Here is a 26,125-nt window from a genome sequence, read left to right on the forward strand (position 1 = left end):
CTCATAGACAGAGACACATACAGACAGACAGACACACACACACACTCACTCATACACACATAACTATCAGATGATCTCTTTTGATTCCTTGGTCACAGGTAGCAAAAGAAATATTGTTGACTCAGGTAAAGATTTCTGTCTCCAAATCTAGGAGATGCTGGGATTCACCCAAAATATAGTGTATAATGTTTGTTTTAAGATATATATCATAGATGTCCTGACCTCACAATTGGAAAGAAATCCCTGTTATTTTATCTTCTTTTATCAAATACCTAAGCCATTACTGTTTTAGCCTTGCTGCCCAAGGAAGATGCCCATTTCTACTTGCTACTGGACTGATTCTGAGGGGAGTGGGGAGTAGAATGGTAGCTCTCCCTGAGCTTCGAGAAGCATGTTGCTTGCTGAGTGTGACCCTGACATTGAACAAATGGCAGAGGCCAAGACAATGTCTGCTAAATAATTCCCCCTTATAGCTCATTAACACATAGAAAAATATAGGCAGAGTTATAATTTCTATTTTTTTTCCCTTAACTTTCTTTCTTAACCATCTTTCTACTACTTCACATTGCCTCTCCTTTTCATGTCTTTGTGTTCATCTTTCTCTAGGGGCATCATTTGGTGGGCAGAGAGTGCCTGCTTACACACTGCATGTCATTTGGGCTGTCGTATAGTGTGCTGAGTATTTCAATGCGATTGCATCTCTATTCATCTACTGTCAGAGGTGGCAATGTTGCAGACAGGGATGTTTGTTATTGAAACAAACAAAGCATGTGGTGTTATAGATTTGTATGCAAAACCTTCAAAACAAAACTAAGTAGCTATTTACTTTAAATATGCCAATTAACTGTTACTAATGTACAGTGCACTTCTAGGTTAAGGATGATTGATAGTAACACGCAGTGAAATGTTCTTAAACTACAGTCAGGAAATGTAAATGTACAAAATGGAAAGAACCAGCAGCTGACAGCACTAGTTACATGTTTCAAAACAACACTTTCAAATCATTCCTTTATTGTTCTTTCATCCTTTTCTCTATTCTACACTTGTATAGCCTGGTAGCCAATGGTATACTAAAAAAGTTTTAGAAAAGAGCAAATGTTTTAGTATGAAGTAAACATTATGGGCCTAATCTCATTTGTTTCACTCAGGCAGAACACTTAGGAACCGCAGTGGGAGTTTTGCTTGAGTGAAGAGAATAGGCTTGTCTCTTTTAAATGTCTGACATTGAATTTGTTGCAATTACAAAACTAATTAAAAGGAGAGATGACTTCTCCTTTAGCTGCTATGTCCTGTCTCAGCAGACAGTCACCTCTTCATTTGCTCTAGACCAGCACTCTCCAATAGAAAGATAAAGAGAGCCACAAATACTAACATATATTGTTTCATAAATGAAATAATATGTATTGGACATATATATGTATATATATATATAGTTTAATTTTCTAGGAGCCAAATTTAAAAAGTGAAAAGAGGAAATTAACAATGTTGTATTTAACTTAATGTGTCCACACTATAATCATTTTAACATGTAATCAATATAAATATTAATAAAATATCTCACATTCTTTTCTGTATAACTAAGTCTTTGAATTTTCATATGCATTTTATGCTCACAGCATATGCCAACACAGAGGAGCCTCACCTCAAGTGTTTAGTACCTCTCTATGGCTAGTAATGCATGGGACAGCAACAGCTCTATACTTCACCATTTGAGAATCGGTCTAGTATTTGTGATTAAAACATTTACTTTGGACGGTCAGGAAAAACTGGATATGAATCCTGATTTAACACAATGATCTGATTGCTGTTCAATTTTGCCAATTACTGTTAAAACCTACCATTTTGTTAGGGAGATTAGCTAAATTCGTGAACTCAGCCAGCTGACTGATGATTTTATAAAGCTACCGGCTGCTAAATGTAAAAATGTTTGTGCCAGGCACACTATACAAACATTCTTCTAGTAAAATCTCAAAAGAGAGAATGGAATTACTTTAAAAATACAAATATAATATTGATATGCATCACTTAAATGTCATTTGAACATTTTCACAATACATTTCATGTTTCTCACAATGAAAGCTGGGTTTGCATTGTTAGACAAATAATCAGTAAGTGGATATTGTCAAGTTAACCCTCTAAGAAGGAGAATTGGATCTACTTAACTCCAGTTAACTATCGGTTAACACCATCTATAAACTAAAAAATGAAATGCAAACATGATTAAGCAGAAATTAAACAGCAAACAAGAGAGGAGATTAAACATGAGTAGCTAGTTTTGGAGAATAATTGATTTTTTTCCAAATCAGACAAATTGTGTTAATTTAGTGTCTCATGTGCTAGACTAGTAAATGCTGTGGAGGTTAAATGACAACACAAAGTTGTGTCATGCTTGCTCAGATTTGGGAAAGACATTTATGTGAAGAGCAGTGTATTAGTCTGTTCTCATGCTGCTAATAAAGACATACCTGAGCCTGGGTAATTTATAAAGGAATGAGGTTTAATGGACTCACAGATCCACATGGCTGGGGAGGCCTCACAATCATGGTGGAAGGTGAAGCACAAAGGCATGTCTTACATGGCAGCTGGCAAAGAGAGCACATGTGGAGAACTCCCCTTTATAAAACCATCAGATCTCATGGGACTTATTCACTATCACGAGAACAGCTTGGGAAAGACCCACCCCCATGATTCAGTTACCTCCCACCAGTTCCCTCCCATGACACATGGGAACCATGAGAGCTACAATTCAAGATGAAATTTGGCTGGGGACACAGCCAAACCATATCATTCTGTCCCAGCCCCTCCCAAATCTCATGTCCTCACATTTCAAAACCAATCATGCCTTCCCAAGAGTCTCGCAAAGTCTTAACTCATTTCAGCATTAAGTCAAAATTCCACAGTCCAGTCTCATCTGAGACAAAGCAAGTCCCTTCTGCCTACTAGCCTGTAAAATCAAAAGTAAGTTAGTTACTTCCCAGTTACAATAGGGGTACCAGCATTGGGTAAATATAACCATTCCAAATGGGAGAAATTGGGCAAAACAAAGGGGCTACAGTTGCCATGCAAGTCTGAAATCCAATAGGGCAGTCATTAAACCTTAAATTTCCAAAAATGATCTCCTTTGACTCCGTGTCTCATATCCAGGTCATGCTGATGCAAGAAGTGGGCTCCCATGGCCTTGGGCAGCTCTGCTTCTGAGGCTTTGCAGGAGCAAAGCCCCTCTCCTGGCTGCTTTCATGGGCTGGCATTGAGTGTCTGAGGCTTTTCCAGATGCATGATATAAACTGTCAGTGGGTCTACCATTCTGGGTTCTGGAAGATGGTGGCCTTATTTTCATAGTTCCTCTAGGCAGTGCCCCAGTGGGGACTCTGGGTGTGGGCTCCAACCCCACATTTCCCTTCCATACTGCCCTAGCAGAGGTTCTCCATGAGGACCCATCCCCTGCGGCAAACTTCTGCCTGGACATCCAGGCATTTCCATACATCCTCTGAAATCTAGGTGGAGGTTCCCAAACCTCAATTCTTGACTTTTGTCCGCTCACATGCCCAACACCATGTGTAAGCTGCAAAGGCTTGGGGCTTGCACCCTCTGAAGCCACAGCCTGAGTTGTACTTTGGCTCCTTTTAGCCACAGCTGAAGCTGAAACAGCTGGGATGCAGGGCACCATGTTTGGAGGCTGCATAGAGCAAGGGGGACCTGGGCCTGGCCAGGGAAACCATTTTTCCCTCCTAGGTCTCCAGGCCTGTGATGGGAGGGACTGCTGTGAAAGTCTCTGACATGCCCTGGAGACATTTTCCCCATTGTCTTGGTGATTAGTAGTTGCCTCCTCATTACTTATGCAAGTTTCTGCAGCAGCTTGAATTTCTCCCTAGAAAGTGGGTTTTTCTTTTCTACTGCATCATCAGGCTGCAAATTTTCCAAACTTTTATGCTCTGTCACTTCTTGAGTGCTTTGAAATTTCTTCCACTCGTTACCCCAAATCATCTCTCTCAAGTTCAAAATTCCACAGATCTCTAGGGCAGGGGCAAAATGCCACGAGTCTCTTTGCATAGCAAGAGTCACCTTTTTTCCAGTTCCCAATAAGTTCCTCATCTCCATATGAGACCACCTCAGCTTGGACCTTATTGTCCATATCACTGTCAGCATTTTGGTGAAAGCCATTCAACAAGACTCTAGGCGGTTCCAAAGTTTCCCACATCTTCTTGTCTTCTGAGCAGGGAAGTTCCAATCTTTCCCACATTTTCCTGTCTTCTTCTGAGCCCTCCAAACTGTTCCAACCTCTGCCTGTTACTCTGTTCCAAAGTCACTTCCACTATTTTTCGGTATGTTTACAGCAGCACCTTGCTACCTGGTACCAATTTACTGTATTAGTCTGTTCTCACACTGCTAATAAAGACATACCTAAGACTGAGTGATTTATAAAGGAATGACGTTTAATGGACTCACAGTTCCACATGGCTGGGGAGGCCTCACAATTATAGTGGATGGTGAAGGAAGAACAAAGGCACATCTTACGTGGCAGCAGGCAAGGAGAGTGCATGCAGGGACCTCCCCTTTATAAAACCATCAGATCTTGTGAGACTTATACACTCTCATGAGAACAGCACAGGATAAACCTGCTGCTGAGATTCAATTACCTCCCACCAGGTGCCTCCAACAACATATGGGAATTATGAGAGCTACAATTCAAGATGAGATTTGGATGGGGACAAAGCCAAACCATATCAAGCCACCGCTAAAACAAACCATAATAAAATAAGTGATATAATAAGCTATCCTCCAAAGTACTGAACTATTCCATAGGCATGTAGCCTTTGATTATCATGGAGAATTGTGGAAAGGCCCCAATATCTGCCTCTTGCCTGCTCTGCCATGGCCCCTTTGCTGGTGCATTTCCAGGCTACTGTGTCCTCTGGCTTTCCAGTGGATTCAGCCAGTTAGAAAGCCCCTGGAGCATAAAGGGCTGTGGAAGAGAAAAGCCAGATTATTTGTCCTGTCCTTCTGTGTCTGAGGTGACATCTCTGAAAATGTCTCAAGTGGTGTCTCCTCTGTAGCTGTGACTCCTGCTCTACACTCCTGTCACAGTACAATCTTTGCAGGGTGACCCTGACTCCTGGCACCAGTTATCACTGGTTCCTCCCCTTTTCTCCTTCAGCCTAAGAAGTCCTAGTGGCTTCTGGTGATTTCTAATATCTAGATTGCCTCAGTACCTCCCTGATACAGTGAGCCCTTCTGCTTCTGTGTAATCAGTTCCCTGTATTGTCTCCCCTCATGTTTTAACTACTTAAAGTGGATTTCCCTTGTCTCTGGTTGAACCTTGAGTCATACAGAGAGAAAGATGGATTCACAAACAAAAACGAACATAGTTTCAAATGAATTATTAAACACATTGCTTATGTGCACCCAGAAGTAGGTAGTGATCACTAAGAGCCAACAGGAATTTCCTAGGAGCAATTATGACCAATTCGCTTTGCTTATTTAATTGGTAGTTAAAGAAGTGCTGGGATTAGTACATGAGCAAGGCCTTTGAAGTGATTGCTCATGATGTCCTTGTGGTTAATAGACACATGTGGGCTGGATGATACAGATTTAGTCAGGTTTATAGGCTGTACTGGAAAATACCTAGAGGGAACCATGGCTGCCTTTCAGTATTTGAAGAGGGATTAGATTAAATCTTTGAAACACTAGAGGCTAGAGCCAGGATCAATGTTTGAAGTTCAGGGAATCTGATTTTGGCTCAATAAATAGAAGTGCATTCTAAGAATTAGACTTATTCCGAAATGGAATTGGCTCCCTCTGAGGAAGATGATTTCTGTCTCTGGTTGTATCCAGGCAGATTTAACCTGTGAGGAATGGGGGAAAAGGGATTCTTGCATTGGTAGAAACCTCAAATAGAAAATCCTGAAAGTTCCTTTCAATTCTGAAAGCTTAAGAATTTATGAATATGGTTATTTATGTCTGATAATAGCATGGGACCAGATGTAATTTTGTCATTTGACAAGACCTCAGAAGAAGCACAAAAACTTGCCCTGCCTCTGGGGGATCATTGTTCACATAAATGATTACTGTCTCAGTGAAGAACTAACTAATCAAGTTTCTTGCTTTACAGAAGCACAAATATACTAGCATTTAGTTTAAAGAGAAAATGTTTTTTCCTCATTTCAAGAAAATCAGCATATAATGCTAGGGGCCTAAAGCTTGAAGAAATACTACATAATATAATCATTGATGGATACGTATTTTTAAAATAAAGATATGCATGCAAGAAATGTGGAAGGTTTTAGTGAGGAATGACATCAGTCCTGTGTAGGTTAGTTATTTGTCAAGATGAAAATTGGCTTTATATGAAAGTTTGTATTGAAGATGATGAAGTTTTTAGCAGATATTTTTATCACCTGCTTTGACAGAAAACAGTTGAACTTCAGCTATAATCAATCAGTCATTCAACAAGTTTCATTAAGCACATGCTATACATTTAGCATCAGAGATAGCCATAGGCAAAATGCTTAAGCAGGATAATTTTTTTTTTTGCCTTTTCTCTGCTCTTTTCCACTGCGTGTTGTCATGTATTTGAAAGATTTCCAGTGGCCTCGAAGTCTCCCCACTCTACTTCTTTTTTTTTTTTTTTTTTTGAGACGGAGTCTTGCTCTGTCACCCAGGCTGGAGTGTCGTGGCGCAATCTCGGCTCACTGCAAGCTCCGCCTCCAGGTTCATGCCATTCTGCCTCAGCCTCCCGAGTAGCTGGGACTACAGATGCCCGCCACCACGCCTGGCTAATTTTTTGTATTTTTAGTAGAGATGGGGTTTCACCATGTTGGCCAGGATGGTCTCGATCTCCTGACCTCGTGATCCGCCCGCCTCAGCCTCCCAAAGTGCTGGGATTACAGGCATGAGCCACCGTGCCCGGCCCTCCACCCTCTACTTCTGAGGAATGGATCTGAGAAACTATTTTACACTAAGATGCAAGCTACCACTATGTGTCACTTAATGATGAGGATACATTCTGAGATATGCATCATTAGACAATTTCATCATTGTGCAAACTTTGTAGAGCACACTTTCACAAATATGTCTAAACCTAGAAAAGGTACCGTAAAAACTCGGTATTATAATCTTATGGGATTATTGTTGGTACCATAAGATATACATGGTCCATTGTTGACCAAAATGTCATTATGCAGCACATATCTTATATATACTAGGTAACTACTTGTTGAGTTGAAGTATGAATGAGTGAATGAAGTATGAATGAGTGAATGAGGTATGAATGAGTGAATGCATGAGCGTATTTCTAATAAGAGGATTGTATTCATTTATTTCTGATGAACATTTTGGACTGCCTATTATAAAAAAAAGTTGAATGAATTACACATTGTTCCCACTTTCAAAAGTCTCCAGGATTGTGGTGATAGACCCATGTACACAGAGCTAATTATAACACAACGGAAGTGCTGTGCTACTTAACACAATGCTATGGTAACACTGTGTATAACACAGGAGTGCGTGATTAATTTGTTAATTCTACTGCAGTGGAGGTTGGGCAAAAGGAAGAAGCTGATGGGGGAAAACTGTGGTAAAAGGAATGACATTTAAACTGAGAGAAAAAGAAAAAAAAATACTTCTGTCTCTGAAAGGAGTAAGGGGAAGGACCTTGTAAGCAGAAGAAAGAGTTTGTATGAAAACTCAAAGGTATTTGCGTTTTAACAGCTACAGATTTCCACTGACATTAACTAGAGGTAAAAGCATCATTAGTGGGAATTTAGGAGACATTTAGACTTTGCTTAGGAAGTTGCTTATTCTCTAGTATATGGTTAGCCTGGTCCATTACTTTGCTATATGGTAGTAAATTATATTGTTAGTGGCTAATATTTACTCTTAGTGGTCTGATAAATTCAAATTGTAATGCACATTTCAAAACAGAAATATTTAACTTCAGCTATATACATTCTTTCTTTTAAAACCAACTTCTGCTGGGTCATTTTTCAGTAAAGTATTCACTTTGTAGGAGCAAACTCCTCTACAGCATGATATATAATAATATTAATGTATTACTCTCAGGATTTTTTTCTTTAAAAGCATGTGTTTATAACTTCAGCTGTAGTCTCTTAACATTTAGATCTTTTAGCACCTGACAACTTTTATGACAACTCACAAAGCAAAGACACCTCCCACATCTAGAAAAAGCACATCTAGATTTGCTTTTTCTCTCTTGGGCAGAAGCATTGAAAAGAACAACTTTCAAGTCAAAAGAATCAAGGTGAAGAGAATGGATACTCATGCCCATGTGAATTTGCTGCCCCAAGTCTACTGGAGGATCAAGCTGCAGGTTTCAATAGCTATAGCCTGAAGAATCTCTGTAATGAACTAAAACAATCAGTAAAAGATCAGTTGCAGTGGAAGACATTATACTCTAGATTTTTCTAGTATTATTAAATTTGAAAATGATTTATTCCAAATTTTAACTTAGCTTTTAATTTTACTAGTGTCAAAATGTTGTACTACTTTGGACAACTGATTTTTCCAATAGAGAGTCAATAGCATCTTTGCAGGGTGGTTTAAAAGCCAATAATTTAATCCATATTCTACTAAAACTTTTAATATAAGCATTTTACCCAGATGTATTTTTTCCTTGTTTTAGAAAATCTGATTTTAATTGCTAAAACTCGTTTTTAAATATTAATTCAATGAAAGAAATGCTATGGTTTTCTACTTTTTCATTTCTTAAACTCAAGGGAAAACATGGGTGAAAAACAAAAAATTGTTCTGCATAGAGTCTTCTTTAATGTCTCACTTTGGTGATGTATGAAATAAAAACCAAATTGTTTTAACCAGCTAAAAATCTTAGGTTTGAATTATCCAGAATGCTTGTGTTTTGCAGTCATTTCTTGTGATTATTTTATTTTGTTCCTCTGGTATGCACCATCGTATTAACACATGCTAAGTAAGGGGCCATTTTTAAACACACATGCTTTTGTTGCTAAATCTGCTTCTAGTTTTGTCTGGGCAAAAAAATATTCTGGAGTTTCTGGTAAGAATGGTTAAGGCAGGATGAGTGGAGAAAGCAACTCAAAGGGAACTACAGGAGACAAACTGGGGTTTATTTGATACGTAAAGGCCATCTTTTGTGACTCTGCTCTTTTAGGGGGTGTATGTATCATTTTCTCATTTGAATGTCTTTGTGGTGCAAATATAGGCAATTTAATCAAACCCATCAAAGAATCTTAGTCATTTATCTGTGTATTATGTGTACTTATTACAGTGTAGTCAAGTGGACTGCATTTGACTTTTAGAACTAACTGAAATGATCTGTCATACAGTCACTACCAGTAGATGATCACCTGAAACTGAAGTGTTCATGGTTATTTATTGGAAAGCATTTTTAAGGAGACATTTCTTTCCAATGTTGCAACTGTATTAACACTGTTTGGTTGTAACAGGGACTCATGTCAGATTAGCTTAATTAAAGCATAAGAATTTATTATAAGTATACCACACAGAGCACCAGGGTAGGAGATGGAACAACTGGGCCTCATGAGGGACTGCATCTAGGAATCTGGATGGGATCTCTCTCTCTCTCTCTCTCTTTCTCTCTCTCTCTCTCTCTCTGTCTCTCTCTCTCTCTCCCCTCTCTGCTTCTAGGTGTACCTCTGCTTCAGTATTCTCTCTGCTTCTTCATCCTTCATTCCATCTACTTTCTCACAGCATCCACATTTACATGTTCTCTCTTTTCTTTAGCCAAGTAGTCTTCAGCTTAGATTTCTAAGAAAGAAAATCTGATTGACCCTGATTGGGGATAGGTATTGACCGTTGGTTGACAAGACCACTCCAAAGATGACCCAGTTAAAAACGGAATCAATTCAGTACACATACACACACACACACACACCCCACAGCCTCTGGATTTTCAACAAGTACAGTATACTCACCAAAACTTTACTATGTAAGGCATTTAAAAATACTTTTGCAATATATTTTAGGAAATTTAATATAGAGAGGTAACTTGTATTGGAAAAAGAACAAGGGCTTAAGGAAGTGACAGCTTTGCTTAGGTTTTTTGCACTGACATGTAGTAAGTTATGGGGCTGTAGGGAGTTTTCCATTTTTACAGTCTCAGTTTCCACACCTGTAAATTGGGGATAACGATACCTGTCTTACAGGAGTTCTTCTGATAATGAACAATAGTATGCATGAAATGACTAGAACAGTGTGTAAATTCATGCTAATAGTCAATAAAAGGAGCTATTACTACTATCTTTATATTTTGTGTGATTTAGGGTCATATAATCAGCATTTTAAAATCAGATGAGGTCATATATGTTGTTGGCTCAAAGAAGCTACCTTGAGGCACTCCCTGAAGAACTTCAAAATAAATGCATATTCTTTTCTCAAAGTTAACTAAAAAGTCAACTCATAGTGGAATAGAGAAAGGTATACAAAGTCAATTTAAAGCCATCTTTCCCAAGCTTCTGTTATTTTCTTTTCTCTCTCTCTCTTTTTTTTTTTTTTTTTGAGACAGAATCTCACTCTGGTCACCCAGGCTGGAGTGCAGTGGTGCAAGCTTGCCTCACTGCAACCTCTGCCTTCCAGGTTCAAGCAATTCTGCTACCTCAGCCTCTGAGTAGCTGAGATTACAGGCATGCGCCACCATGCCTGGATAATTTTTGTATGTTTAGGAGAGACGGGGTTTCACAATGTTGGACAGGCTGGTCTCAAACTCCTGACCTCAAGTGATCTGCCTGCCTTGGCCTCCCAAAGTGCTGCAATTCCAGGTGTGAGCCACCACGCCCAGCCCAAGCTTCTGTTATTGGTAAACTTTTTCCACAAATTGTTGATATCTCTGTAATACCTAAACAATTATTTAATGTTTTTCACTAAATTAACTTTATATGAATTCATCATTTTAAGTTATTAACCTCATGTTTGTAATACTATTTTTGAAATTAGGATTTGACATACTGGTTATATATATTTTCCTAATAACCATGATCATAAATGTGTAACTATTCATGTAAAAAAGAGTTCATCCTTTTACCATATAAAATGAACTTGAGGTAACACTGACTTCACAAGACGTCTTCAGAGCCAATACAATTGACCTAAATCAGAATTAAAACAACATATTTAAAGAAATAAATATGTCATTCAGAAAAAGAGAGTTGGTCAGCCCTGGAACAGAGCAGAAATGAGTCACCGTGGTGACCATCAGCTGACAGCCTCAGCACTCTCTGGGTACCCTGCAGGCCCATGCAGTCAGCTCCACCCTTTGGCAGGTCTTTCCATCTCCTGGAGACAGACATATCACAAGCCACTTAACTTCCCTATGATTCAGTTTATTTGTTTGTGAAATAGGGATATCATATAGTTCTCAAATATTTGACATGAGAAAGCATAAAAGAATGTCCTTGCTATGGACTGTTTGTGTCCTCTCCCCATTCATGCCCCCAGTGTGATGGCATTTGGAGGTGAAGTCTTTGGGAGGTACTTAAAATTCCGTGAGATTATGAGGGGGGCCCTATAATGGGATTAGTGCTCTTATAAGAAGAGGAAAGGACCAGAGTCCTCTCTCTCTGCTATGTGAGGATACAGCAAGGAAAATCACAAAGAGGGCCCTCACCAGGAGCTGAATCAGCTGGCATGCTGATCTCAAACTTCCCAGCCTACAGAACTGAGAAATAAATTTTTGTTGTTTAAGCCACCCAGTCTATGATACTTTTGTTATAGCAGCCCAAACTGATTAAGACTGTCCTGAATAAAACTTTTTAAAATTAAAAACAAAACTTTTTACTCTAATCTTCTGTTGGGTAGGGCAACTTGACTTATCAGGCTTCATGAGTTGTTTTTCCGTTGGCAGTTATATAAATTGGCAAAGAGGCCTTACATGTCCACCTTATGAACTTTGTGAGACAACTCTGATAATTAATTAAACTGCAAGTCCCAGGGAAGACCCTGGTTAGTGTTAAAGGTGCCAAGGTAAATCCTATACTGGTCTGGACTCCTGAGGGCTAATTGAATTTCTCAAGGTATCAGGGTGCAAATGCTTCTAACACTTGTAATATGCTATATAGTTTATTAATCAGCTATTTACAGAAATCTAGCTACAAATATGACATTGCCAATAGGAAAATACTCTAAAGAGATTCCTGGGTCTCATAGTTTATCATCTCACTAAGGAATTCACAGGTGCATACATGATTTTTTTATATATATGAGTACTTCTCCATATATTACCTCACAATAACCCTATGTAACAGTTGAAAAAACTGAGGCACAGAACTTAAATGACTGACTGAAAGTCCACAGTGAACGTTTAATGGTGGAACTAAGATTAGAGTTCAAAGTCCAGCATTCTTTACAAAGTGGTTGCAAACCCCAGGATTGTCTTCTTAGAGGGCAGATACCCAGGCCCCTTAAATAGATACTCTACATTGGGTGGATTTTTTTTTTAATTGAGTTGAGGTCTCTCTCTGTTGCCCAAGCTGGAGTGCAGTGGCATGATTGTGGCTCATTACAACCTCAAACTCCTGGACTCAAGCGATCCTCCCACTTCAGCCTCCTTGGTAGCTATAACTAAAGGGGTGCCTGCCACTGCACCCAGCTGATTTTTGAAGAATTTTTGTGTGTGTGTATGGAGACAAAGTCTTGTTATATTGCCCAGGCTGGTCTTGAACTCCTGGGCTCAGGCAGTCGTCCTGCCTTGGCCTACTAAAGTAGTGGCATCTCAGGCATGAGCCATTGCACCCAGCCAGAAATCTGCATTTTAATGAAACCTCAGGTGATTCTAGTGCGGATCATCTGCTATGATAAGCATCATATCAGGTTATGCAATGTTCTTATGAAGTAACTTGGCAGCAGTTGCAAAACAACACACAAATATGTTTAAAATTCTAGAGTATGGAGTTATGCCGAGACGCAAGTGATGAAGACGAGGGTGCCAGAGAGGACAAGATCTTTTGTGCAGGCTGGTGCTGACCACGCACACAAAGGGGACATTTAGGTTGTCTGGAATTCCTTCAGTGATTTGGACAATGTTTGCTCATCACTTCTTTCAGCTCACACAAGAAATCCCAGGAGCATTTTGCCTTAAAATTCTTATTCCTTTATTCGAAAAAATAAAAAATTAAAACTGGACTCAATGTCTTAAATTAGGAAAGAATTCAGCATCAAATGTTTCTTTTTGCCCTTATATGGATTTTTTTGAAAGCTCTGTCTAAAATACCATGTTCTTTCCATGTCATCTTCATTGTGAATGCAGGCAACAGGATTCTGCCCTTGGATGGCTTTCAGGGGAAGAGACAGAACAAAACAACAAAACACTTTATGTTTCTTTTCAACGGCACAGATTTTTACATGTGAGGGTCAGGGTTGAGTTCAAAATGTTGCTCATTTGGGAGCAATGAATTTCTGTTTTTCAGATGATATGAAAAAATATAGAGTAAACGAAGCATAGGAAAACACTGACAGTTACTTTGCAACGATGTGAATGGAAAAACTGTACAGATTGCATTATATTTGAGTGGACATTTTAGCATGAATACTCATGTGTAATTCATCTCTTACCCTCAAAGTTAGAAGCCTATGACTCTGGCAAGCAGGCATTTGTTCGGAACCCTGGCTTTCAACAGCCATCACTGTGTACCGGGAGCCAGTATGGGATTCCCCCTCAGGGGATGGAAAGTGGCAGGAAGTGACCTCTCAATTGGACCATTGTCTAAGGAAATGTTCTAAACGTCTTTCCCTCAGCCTGGTTGGAGATACATAATCAACATATTTGTGCCATGAGAAGGGAGCCCCAGTCAGGGCCAGTCCTTCTGCAAACAGCTCCTTCTTATTTGTTCTTCCCTTTTGTCTAGCTTTGGGGAATCGCTGTGATTCAGCACTTAGGTGAGTGGTTATTCCTGTCTCCCAGATCATACGTCCCTTCACCTAACTTGTGAATTTCCCTCTGATATCTTACTGATGACATTCCAGAAAGCAGCATATCCAAGACTATTACTGGCTAGATACAAGGCAGGGACATTTGCTATTTATGGCCTCTGCCATTTCTCACTGTATTCCTTCATTTTAATATATGCATGTCTTTTCTGCTGGGTCAAGCGTAAGTGTCTGGAGGATATGTACGTTACTCATAATTTTAAAATGGCTACTATTATCATTATTTGTAGAGACAGGATCTCACTTTGTTGCCCAAGCTGGTCTCAAACTCCTGGGCTCAAGTGATCCTCCCACCTCAGCTTCCCAAAGTGTTTGGATTGTAGGAATGAGCCACTGCACCTGGCTGAAATGGCTTTTAGTTCAGAGCTTCATGTATAATGGTCCCTCAATGAATGAATGAATGAATAAATAAATAAACTTGCAGTGTCAATGATTATAGGGACAGTCCCTTTTCCCTCTGCCCTTGCTCCAAGAGGTCTTTTGAGTTACCTGTCCTTGAAACTAGATCTGGCTTCAGCCCTGTGTCTTTGCTTCTGGCTTAACTGCCATGGTGCCATTTTGTACACATTGTAAACAAAATGGAAAGATAAGAGTGGGTGAAATAAGCCATGGCCAGAGCTACTGGTCAAAATCATGACAAAGGCAAGATTTATGCTTAGTGTCTTCCACCATTTCTGCCCATGGTCACTGACTCCCTCTAGGTGGGCCCCTGCTTTGCCATCAAACTTTTACCAGGTTCACCAAAATACTCACTGAACTTAGAAGGCACCACATCCAAATCGTTCTTTATCTATTATCTGTCTGAGCTTATCTGTACTCCATCTCAAATGCCCTTACTTTCTGCTAAGTGACAATACTTGGTAATAGATGAATGAAATAAACCAGGCTTTCCTGTTATAAGACCTAGCCAATATGGTACCCTTCTCAAGAATCAAAATGTCTCAACTTGATTTAAAGACCCTTTAGTATTTGTGCTAGGTATATTGATTTGCTTTTAATAAAATCTCTTTTCTTTACTTTTTTTTTTTTTTTTAAGAGATGGGGTCTCACTCTGTAAGCCCAGGCTGGAGTACAGAGGCATAATCATAGCTCACTGCAGCCTCAAACTCCTGCACTCAGGAAATTCACTTCTGCCTCCAAAAAAGCTGGAACTACCAGCACACACAACCACACCTGGCCAAATTGCCGTTACAATCTCTTAAATTCCTTCCTTCTTCTATGTTTATTTACATGGTTGCTGTCCTGGTTCTGGCAAAACAGGTCTGGTTTTCTTGCTTTGTCTCTCTTAGCAGTCCATCCAATGATCTGTTGCCAAATTGATCTTTTTTAAAACATCTCTTTTATCATGTTACTTTTTGTCTAAAATTGCACTCATTGATTCACATTGTATTGCCTGCATGGTGGACTTAAAACATATAGGCCACCTCTTTCCCACTCCTCATGGTAGACATTAGTAATCAATCATTCTTTGTTTGCCTAAGAGCCCATGGCCTAAGAACACAGATTTCTAATGAACCACTATCAATTGCTAGGAGATCTCCACATGAAACTTCTTTCTCATACTCAATGGACCACAATGGGAAATTCAAAGTCAAAGTCCATACCCAGGAATTCAACATAAGTTAATCCCATTATGCCTTTCATTGAATGTAGGTACAAAATCTTCCTACTGTGCTCCAGCAAAATTCTGAACATAACTCTCTACTGAATATACTCTATTCTGACCAGACTCTGGGCTACTCTTTCTGAAATTCCACTGCTGGTAATGTTCACTCTACTTTTCTAACTTGATCCAAACAGGCCCGTGTTTCAAGGCCAAGCTTGAATTCTTCTCACTCCCTGAATACTTCCTAGGACATGTCAGGCAGGGATTGTCTTAACTCAAAGAACTGTCTATGCCACTCATTTAGCCAACAAGTATTACAGATTTGTGAATGGGCTCTCTTGTGGCTATTATTTACTTGTCGATTGTGTGCCTTCTTTTTTTTTTTTTCTTTTTTTTGAGCCTCACATTTTCTTTTTTTTTTATTGTTATTATACTTTAAGTTTTAGGGTACATGTGCACAACGTGCAGGTTTGTTACATATGTATACATGTGCCATGTTGGTGTGCTGCACCCATTAACTTGTCATTTACATTAGGTATATCTCCTAATGTTTTCCCTCCCCTCTCCCCCAACCCCACGACAGGCCCCGGTGTGTGATGTTCCCTTTCCTGTGTCCAAGTGTTCTTACTGTTCAATGGGACTGTAAACTAGTTCAACCTTTGTGGAAGACATTGTGGCAATTCCTCAAGGATCTAGAACTAGAAATACCATTTGACCCAGCCATCCCATTACTGGGTATATACCCAAGGGATTATAAATCATGCTGCTATAAAGGCACATGCACACATATGTTTATTGCAGCACTATTCACAATAGCAAAGACTTGGAACCAACTCAAATGTCCATCAATGATAGACTGGATTAAGAAAATGTGGCACATATACACCATGGAATACTATGCAGTGTGCCTTCTTTTCTAGATAGATTTCAGAAGGGAGGGACTACATTTCTACCTCTTTCTATTTTTCCTAGTGCTAATTTACAACATCATATGAAATGCAGGCCTTTATTACTTGATTTCAGATATGGAGGCAGGTGAGTATAGGAGAGATTAAAATTACATTCACAGACACATACCATATTTCTCATTCTCTAGCATAAAATATTTCTAAACATGGAATTGTACATCTGGGTGACAACCCTCAAACTGCAATTGGGAGCTAAGGATATAATCTTTAAAACAATTTGGTATAGTTTTGTTTTGTAGCTAATGTTTATTAAGTACCTATTGTGTGCCAGGCACTGTGCTGAAGATTTACACACAGGATCTTTTTTAATTTTCACAACTACCTTGTGAGGCAGAGACTATCCTATCTTCAATTTGTAGATGGAAAAAAAAAAAACCAGGCTCAGAGAGCTTATATAATGTACCCAAGGACACAGAAATGGTATATAGCAGAGAACCGGGATTCTACCTGGCTGTCTGCTGTCTGACAATTGGGCCTTTTCTCATCATCACCACTAATATAGCAAAATACAATACAGTGAAAAGATTACCTCACAGATGGATTTGGCGACTGCTTTTAGAATTTCAGTGAGTAACATGAAAACTTAAAGAAGAGTGATAAATGTCAGGATGCTTCTGTGGAAGAAATGTGATTGTTTGGTTTATCACAAGTGAGCAAAGAATGCTCAGAGACTGGACTGGTATTTAACAGTATAAATCTGAAATCATGAGAACAGACTAAAGGAGTGCAATAGAGAAGGGAAGAGAGTGTCTGGGAGGCTGCAATACGGTAGGTTTGAGAAAAATAAGGGAAGGGGCTGAAAGTCTTCTGGAATAGGCTACCCCAGAGAAAAAGGAAGAGGGATAGACTAGCCTATTGTAAGTGAGGAGATGCTAAGAGAGAGCATAATGAGAAAATGGGCCATGTGTAATGACTGTCTTAGCTATCGTAACTCAATGGAGTGTAGTTCATACATTCTCTTACACTAATAAAACTGCTGTTCCCTATACTGTATTTGCGAAATGGCAATGGCTAAGAAGCCAGAGAGAGCTGGGGAAAGATTGAAAGCCATGAACGCTCCCTTTGATGGGACAGTTCCTTCCAGTCTCCATCTTAGGCATTTATACTTGTAAGGGTAACTTGAGATGATCCAGCAATTGTCAAATGAGTGAGTTCTGTGGTGCACCTCCAAGTTTTGTCTTATCCTGCAAGCCCACAAAAATCTTCCTATGTAGGATTAGTCCTTAAAACAGTCCTCACTGGGGAGGAAAAGGTGAGGACGTGCCCCCTCTTCTCTGTGCCCGTAGTTTTAATTGAGCCTCAAGTGAGTTTCCTTAGAAGTCAATTTCCCAAAGGGGACAGGGAAGCGTGTGAAACAAAATGAGAGGTGGGGTCATAATTCCCAGAAGTCTTCTGACTTCTTTTTAGATCCTGGTCAAGGATAGAGCTGTTTGTTGTAATAAAAAACTCAGTAGCAGGAAGTTGAAATGGAGGTTAAACTTAAAAAAAAAAAAGAGCTAATTTTAGCTCCATTCAAAACCCAGGAAAAAAAAATCAGTGTTTACAAAATTAAGATTAATGGGCTGCCAAAATTCAACTCATTAGTTAGCAACACTACAATGTAGTGATGAAGTTTGTGCTGGTTGGACTTACAGGGAATTAAAACTATATGATTGGGAATGCTTTTCCCCTTGCATTTGACTTAATGATTATGGACCTTTCTACTGAAAAGAGTGGGTCTAAAAATTCCTGCCTAAGAGTTTACCAATCTCACTTGTAGTTTACTCATCTCACTTGACATAGAGGGGGGTCTTGTCAAAATATACTGAGTGCTGAAGATCATGGTTATTATAGCTTAAAAGCTTTTGCAGATATTGATCTAGACACTAGAATGTCCCTCCTTGTGTAGATAAAATACTCCTGGAGACTTGAAGGAAATACACCAGGAAAAAAAAACCCAGAAAAACAGAGACTTCTTTTCTTTTTGACAAATATGGAGCTCTTTTCCTTCCACAGGGAGGCAATCAATTGAGATGATGGTTTGTGGAAGGCCTTAGGGTGGACAAGAGCTGATTGGGTGTGCTATGCATAAAGGTCCTTTCTCATACAACATCTCTGTGCAGGAGGTGGGCAGATGGCAGGCCAGCTTGGGGGGATAATTGGAGAACAGAATGAGAGGACAGAGCGTGTGTATAATGCTGCGCTGAGATAACACATGCAGAAATCCCTAACTCCGTGTCTGGCACAAAATAAGGACTAAAATGTTCATTTGGTGTTTCTATTGTTGTAGTCATATATATTCATTTTAGTTCAACTTTTAAAGTTGCTTTATTGCTTCACCAGGGGATCTCAAGTTAACCTCTGACTGGTGATCAGTGTATCAGAAAAATATTATGTTTCATGTAGATATTATAACCAACATTGGCCCTGTAAGAGCTCTCTTGATTTCAGAAAAGAGTGTCTTTGAAAATTCCCTTCAAGTCCCATGAAGTGTATATCTGTGTTTCTTTGAGTCTGATTATCCACCTTACATCTGTACAGAAGTTAGCAATTAGTCTTCAAAGGGGCTAATGGGAAAACTGTCCCTTCATAGAACCTTTAGAGGTGGAAGCGGCCTTAGAAATTCTGTGGCTTAATTTTATGAGAAGACAATGATTTCTTTAAAGCCACAAAACTAGTTAATGGCAGAGAAGGAGTGAGAGGATAGCTCTTTTGAATTCTAGGCCAATATTCTCTTTCCTCAATAGAAGATTAGAGACTTATTTCTTGTCTAAGTTTTTTGAGTAGACTTCTTAGGCAATATAAAGTATAAGCTGGACAAAATATAGGCTGTCCTGAAAGGGAACCTTCCCTTATAGGGTGATGAGAGAGGAGTCAGTAGGACTGAGTGCATTTTTATTGCAATCTTTCCAGCCCACTTGCTGGCTGTCACAGGATAGCCCGGAAGGCTGTACAGCTGTGCATGATTAGGGCATGTAGGTCTCTCTCCGGGCCAACTATAACCTCAGGTGTGGTTTTCCTTATGTTACAGATCAGCTAGGAAGAGACTACTCCCAGTGGGCACAGCATTTCCTTGAGGAGATGAGGAAGATGGGAAAGATTCTAGTTCTCTGAGACAGTGGAGTATGACAATACTTTCCCCCCTTTTGGCTCATACTCAGTCTACCTTTGGTTCTGAGAATACAAAATTCAGGATGCAAAAGAAACATTAGACCCTATGTTTGCCCTCTTCAGTGTATGTTTGCATATGTTTGGGGAGGAGGGAGAAGAAGGAAACTCCTGTATTTTAAGTGGTGATTGGAGGGGTTTGCTGGGAGAGAGTGAAGAACACATAAATGGAAGAGGAAAATAATAAATAATAGCTAGAGACAAAAATAATTTCAGGTTGCTAATTATTACTAAGCTGATTAACTTAAAAGAAATTAAAAGAGCAGATATGATCCTGGGTAGCTACATCATCATCACATCTTTGAGACCACAGTTTCTAGTCACTATTACCAGAGAGTTAATTAGCCCAAACTATGGCTGCTGGTTGCTTTAGTTGTCTTCAACTTGAAGTTTTTTTTTTTAAATATATATATAAGTTTTAAAGCTAATTAGGATACACCTGGGGCTCATAGTGAAAGCCAATACAGCTTTCCCCCAGGAGGTTATTTTCTTATATAAGAAAATTTGAAAAAAGGAAAAATGTCAAAGGAAAAACATAATCTATAGATTTAGAGAAAAAGAAGAGTGTAACCATTTCAGCTCAGTAGACCACAAGGTCAGACAAACGTTGCCTGGAATTGAATGCTGTGTGCTTCTGTTTGAAGAAGGAGGATGCTTCCTAGATGTGTCAGGGGAACTACCTGCCTCCTTCCTTATCATCAGCTGTAACACAGGATGTGGTGTTGCTGGCTGGTAATCTGGAAATGGCTTGTTTGTTTTTACAGATCTGTAGAAAAGATTCAACAGTTGTAAAGGATGGAAAGACTCAAAACAGTATGGGACTCATAATAAAGAAAACTAGGGGGAATAAAATTAGATATAACAGCTTGTGACCATAGAATCTGCTCCAGGTATCCGTTGGACAGAGGTGCCAAATACATCTTCTTGTTTCAAAGAAAAGCCAGTTCTTTCCCCACACCCTCCAGCACATGGTCTTAGAATATCCAGACCCCCCACCCCAGCACCCTTTTTTAAAAAAAATTCAGAAAACCTTTGTATTCTTCTAGATACTGGAACTGGTTTATTTATGGGTTTCATAAAGAAAAGGCACTTCTCCTAGAACTCCATAGGCTTGTGGCTCTCTGTTTCTACCAGGCCTTTCTGGATAGCATCCCTCAGATTAAAGTCCCATTACACACTGGAGAAAGAGGATTTTCTAATGCACAACTGGGATAATGTTACTGTTCAGTTCCTGATTCCACTGAAAAGTTATGCTGAGTTTAAAAATCCTCTTTTCTCTTTCCACAAAAGTGAGTGTAGGGCACCCACTGAGAGCTCCTGTCTGCTCTCTAGAAGATGCTAAAGTTGATTCCTGTTGAATTCTCTTGAAGACTGAAATTTATTTGCCATAAATCAATGCTTTAAAACAGAGTCAAAGGCTGAGGAAATTTGAGAAAAATACCTTTTTTCCCATCTTCAGGAAATAAGTGAACAAATAAATAAGCCTTAGTGCCCAATACCTGAAGAAATATGAAGTGAGGAATAATGATTGCCATCGAGTGTTAGGAATTTAGACATGGGTCTTTTTGCTTCCAGTTTCATGATCTTCCCACCGCCCGTGAAGTGCCACGTGGCCTCCCATATTGCTATACTGTAGTAAGGAAGGAAAAATCTTAGACAGCACAGACAATGCTGTACTGTTGGAAAGCTTTGCCTTGTGTAAGCACAGTCAGCTTGTATATTGTTGACTTTCCCCAAAGGGGAGTTCAGGGAAGCCAGAGTGTGTTTATCAGCTCTATCTTTTTCTCCCCTGCCTACCCTACCCCAGATTGAGGGTATGTGGTTGCTCCCTGGCTCAGGGAATGCTTGGGTATGGGGGGACCACCCAGGCTGTTTGGCCTGTGACTACTGCAGAGTCACCGCAGAAGAAGAAGCAGGGAGAATGGGGCTGACTTTGAAGTTTGGGGATGGGAGAACCAGGGCTATTTTAGGTTTGGCCTGAGGTAACTCACACTTTGTGTAACCTCTCCCCCAATATTTGTATACAGGGAACATCAGACTATCTTGACTACATTAAAAAGAAATAAAAGACCACAAATAAAAACTAATCCGCAGTGGGAGTATGCAGGAGTCCTAATTTTTTTCTTGTTGCTGGAGGTGGTGGCAAAGGGTGAGCGTTAGCAATCAGCTGCATGTTTGCCAACATTAAGCCTCTTGTACCACCTGAAAGTGAGCAATCTGTTTCCTCATCAGATTCTTTAGGAGATGCTGGCCAGTCTTCACATGTTGCAGTGAGGTGAAGCTTCCTACATTTTTAAAAGCAGGGATCCTAGCCTGTCAAAGTCTCAAAGTATGGCAGAACATTCTAAGAACCTGCAACAACCTAAACGTAGTTGATAGAATAAATGGCATACCATTTGCTAGTTCTGTGATCCTGGAAAAGTTCTAACTTTCCTAATCTGTAAAATGAGGTTAAGGATACCTCTCTCAGAGTGTTATTGTGAGAATTAAGTCACATACTACATGTAAAGCCCTAAGCACAGTGACTGGTTGATAGAACCAATCCAGAAATGATGATTCTTGTTACTTGTTAGATAGGTGGCTTTATTTTATTAAGCCTTTTGTGAGAGTGGATCTTAATATGTGGAAGTCACTGAAAGTCCAGCCAAACTTGAGTCCAACCAAAGGGATATGGTTTGGCTTTATTATCTAAGCTCTGAGCCAAGCTGTCAAAAAAGATTGAACACGTATTAGGAGAAAAAAATATATTAAGTGATGAGGTGGGTGTGAGTGAGACCGTAAAGAATCAATACCACTATATTATTATTGGTTTGGCTCTTCCTCATTTATAAACACTGAGCCTGGTTTGAATGGTTCAATTTCAGCCCCATTGACAGGTTCTTCATTTTGTTTGTAAAATCTTGGGCACATTAGGGAAAAGATTTACGTACTTCATGCCCTGTTTTTGTCATTCTGCATGGATCATATGTACTCTATATCTTTGTACTGTATCGTGTGAAGCAATTTCAGGTTTGTTTTGTTTTGTTTTGTCTAATAAGCATGTTGTTTTTCAAATCAAACAGTTTGAGATTGAAGTCGATAATAAATAATGAAATGGCTTGACCACATTGTACCAGGAACTCAGAGAATGGAAGCTTTGCCCCTCTCCTTCACTCCATCCCCAGGATCCATGCTCCCCGAGGTTAGCAGTGTCCATCAGAAAGCTGCCCTCTGCCCTCATTTGTGTTTTATGAGGAAACACAATATTACAATGAAAGAAATCCTGATACTTTCCTTAAGGCAGAAGCACTGAATTTATGTTATCTTGAACTTGAACCTATTCTAGGACTATGCATATCTTCTTTTGGTCAATAGATCAAAAGCAGTGAGCACAGTGGCTCACACCTGTAATCCCAGCACTTTGGGAGGCTAAGGTGGGAGGATCGCTTGAGCCAGGAGTTTGAGATTAGCCTGGGCAACAAAGTGAGACCCAGCCTCTACAAACATAAAAAATAAATAAATTAGTGGAGTATGGTGGTGTGTACCTGTGGTCCCAGCTATACAGGATGCTGAGGCAGGAGAATCACTTGAGCCCAGGAGGTCGACACTGCAGTGAGCTGTGTTCATGCCACTGCACTCAAGCCTGGGTGACAGAGTGAGACCCTGCCTCAAAATCAATCAATCAATCAAAAGCTAGTTACAAAAAAGAGAGGTAACAATGATCCTGACCTTGTAGGAAAGTGAAGCAGTGTCTCTGAACAATGAAGCAATCTAACAGGACAGACAGGAAAGTGAAGACCCAGTTTCACACTGGGAAGTTTAAAAAAATACTGAACGTTCTTATGGAATACTTGTTTTTTCTTTTTAATGCCTTTATTCATATTTCTGTTGTTTTTACCACTATCCTTTTACTATCCAAAGGATTGATACCCAACTCCCATGAATAGATTTTTATTCGGGTAGGACCTACTTATGTTTTTACTTGTTTAGGGCCTAGCTCAATGCTTGGTATTTGCTAAAGTCTGTAATAACTAAATGTATAAAAGAGCTTTTTCATTGATCACTAACACTCTCTGAATTATTGTAGGAGTTTGTCCATACTCATCAGTCCTTGAATTATGAACAAACATTTTAGTACTTGATTTTCTATTTTAGTTTACTGATGCTTCTTATCATATTTTAAAATCATTCTGGACAAGCAAAAACCTTATTGTCTAACTATACTTTTCATTTTATAAGATTCACAAATCTCTCTTCAAATCTTTAGTTTTTATTTTTAGAGGTGATTTAACATATCAGATAACTTTTAAGTATCAGGACAAATCATTCATTTCATTTCAGTTTAGGAAAATGCTATCACCAAGTTCCCTTGCTGCCAAGGCATAGAATTCATGCTATTCCGTGGTCATACCTACCAAGGGGAGAATATGTATTCAATTGCTAATGCTCCACTGGGACTCCTGACAAAGTCATTTTATTATGCCCAGTTTTAAATTGCATGCAGTGAGACTCTTCCCAGGAGCATGGCAATGTCCATTGCTCATGCTCCAGAATTGCTGTGTGGTCAGGTCAGGACTTTATTCTTAATGCTCACTGGGTCATACTTGCTTGTGGGTTTTTATGTGGGAAGCAAGGCAGACACTGTGTGTCAGGGTGAGGCCTTCTGCCTCTTGCCCAGGGAAATTACTGCCACATGAAGGTAGGGCAGGAAGCCAGAGGCTGTCCCAAAGCCTTTGGACAATTTGCCCTTTTTCTTGTTTACATGTGCACTTGTGCTAGAGTGAGAGAATTGTGTTCTGGCAACATGTATCCCCAACTGCCAACTGCTCACATTTCTGGCTGCTGCATGAAGTTGTGTATTGTAACTAGCTTTCCTAAAGGAATTCAACCAGTTGAAAAGGTTGCCTAACTTTGCTGAATATTTAAGGTTACCAATCCAAGTTAGGGGTAAATGTTTTCATTAAAACTAATCATCCCCACTTGGGCATACAGAATCATTTCAGCAGGAGGTATAACCTATACCATGCGTTCAGTGTGAATCGCATGTTCTTGTTCCTACTGCAAAGAACCCAGAAGTTCTGGCAGTGTCCTTCAAGGGATGGTAAAAGTCCAAATTCATGCCAGAAATCCCTCATACATGTGATGAAGACTGAGTAGATTAAAGATCATTGATACCAATTTCGATGGAGTAGCCATGTTAAATATAAATAGGTTAATACTGGAGGCAAGAGTAAATACAGAGGATTATACATATTAATTTTAATGGGGGGGGGCTATGCTATACAGAATAACTGGTTAGTAAACTCAGCAGTTTTGTTGGATCAAACCCATCAGCCATTAATAGGTGGAAATAATCATCCTCCTGGTTGAAAGACCAAAACATCTAGTTTGGAAATTTAGGAGTCATATGCCAAGAGTGAAAAGTATCTCTTTAGCAAATAAATCAGGCAATTCTCTTGTACATGTGACCAATGCATTCATCCTTCGGTGCTTGATTTTGAAACACGTAAAGAAATAATAATCAGATAGACTCTGCATTACTGGAAGAATCTTGAAATTAAGATTGTGCTATGCTGAGGATTTCTACTGCTGGTAGGGAATAATTTCCCCTGCCTTTGCATTATTCATCTCATGTAAATTTTGATAAAGTTCATCACTGTGATTATTATTTCATTTACCACATTTTATATGTTTGTAGCACCATTTCCTAAGGTGCTATAAACCACCATAGGATCTTTTTCCTATTCCAGAATAATAGAAATGTGTGTGTTCTTGATATAAAAGGGAGCCTTTTTAGAAGCAGGTAATTAACATACATCATCATAACTTACTACATTGAACTTACTGCAATATGAGTGTCCTTTCCCACCATGTGTAGGAGTGGGCTTTTTAGGCCACAATATCTATGTATTATGTCCTTATGCACCTTCAGCAATAGGCACCTAATGCATATACCAGGCATATTCAGATGATTTTTATGCTCACAATTATCCTATGAGATGGGAATAATAATCCTCACTTTTATGACTAAGATTCTTTAGCTCAATGATTTCCTCAAATTTACACAGCGAATAAAATGGAAGAGCCAGGATTCTAAACCAGGGTTCTCTGATTGTAGAACCCATGATCTTTTTATGGTCATATTCACTGCAGAGAATTCAGCTTCCTTGACAGAAATTCTAGGCTTAGAAAGGATCAAAAAAATATGACTCATTGGGGTGACTCTGATTTGACAGTACCCTGATAATTCTCCAGGAGCACAGGTGGAAACTCCCAAAATGGGGATGGTTTTTTAGATTCACACAAATTCAGCAATGAAAAATGGGTCAAAGGTCATCTAGCCCAACCTCCAAAAGGCCATCTACCCTACTCTTGGATGCTGCCTGGGCTTTCTTGAGGCAGTTATTTTCTTCATGGTGCAGCACAACTTCTAGAAAGTACTTCATGTTCAGCCAAACTCTATCTTATGGTGCTTTCATACAAAATAAGCCTA

At 39.4% G+C, this 26,125-nt stretch overlaps 1 long non-coding RNA gene across 7 annotated transcripts in view; it reads left to right on the forward strand.

Moving 5' to 3' along the window:
* Positions 1 to 26,125, forward strand: part of MEF2C-AS1 (MEF2C antisense RNA 1) — a 584,252-nt gene that overhangs the window by 140,211 nt on the left and 417,916 nt on the right. Inside the window, exon 4 of one of the 7 annotated variants that reach the window (NR_109941.1) lies at positions 8,218 to 8,839. The exons of the other annotated variants lie outside the window; for them this stretch is intronic. This is a non-coding gene — a long non-coding RNA (MEF2C antisense RNA 1). Of the gene's footprint in view, positions 1 to 8,217; positions 8,840 to 26,125 lie in introns of those variants that run through there. 7 annotated transcript variants of the gene reach the window in all.

This window comes from Homo sapiens, chromosome 5 (assembly GCF_000001405.40).
Source record: "Homo sapiens chromosome 5, GRCh38.p14 Primary Assembly".
NCBI lineage: Eukaryota > Metazoa > Chordata > Mammalia > Primates > Hominidae > Homo > Homo sapiens.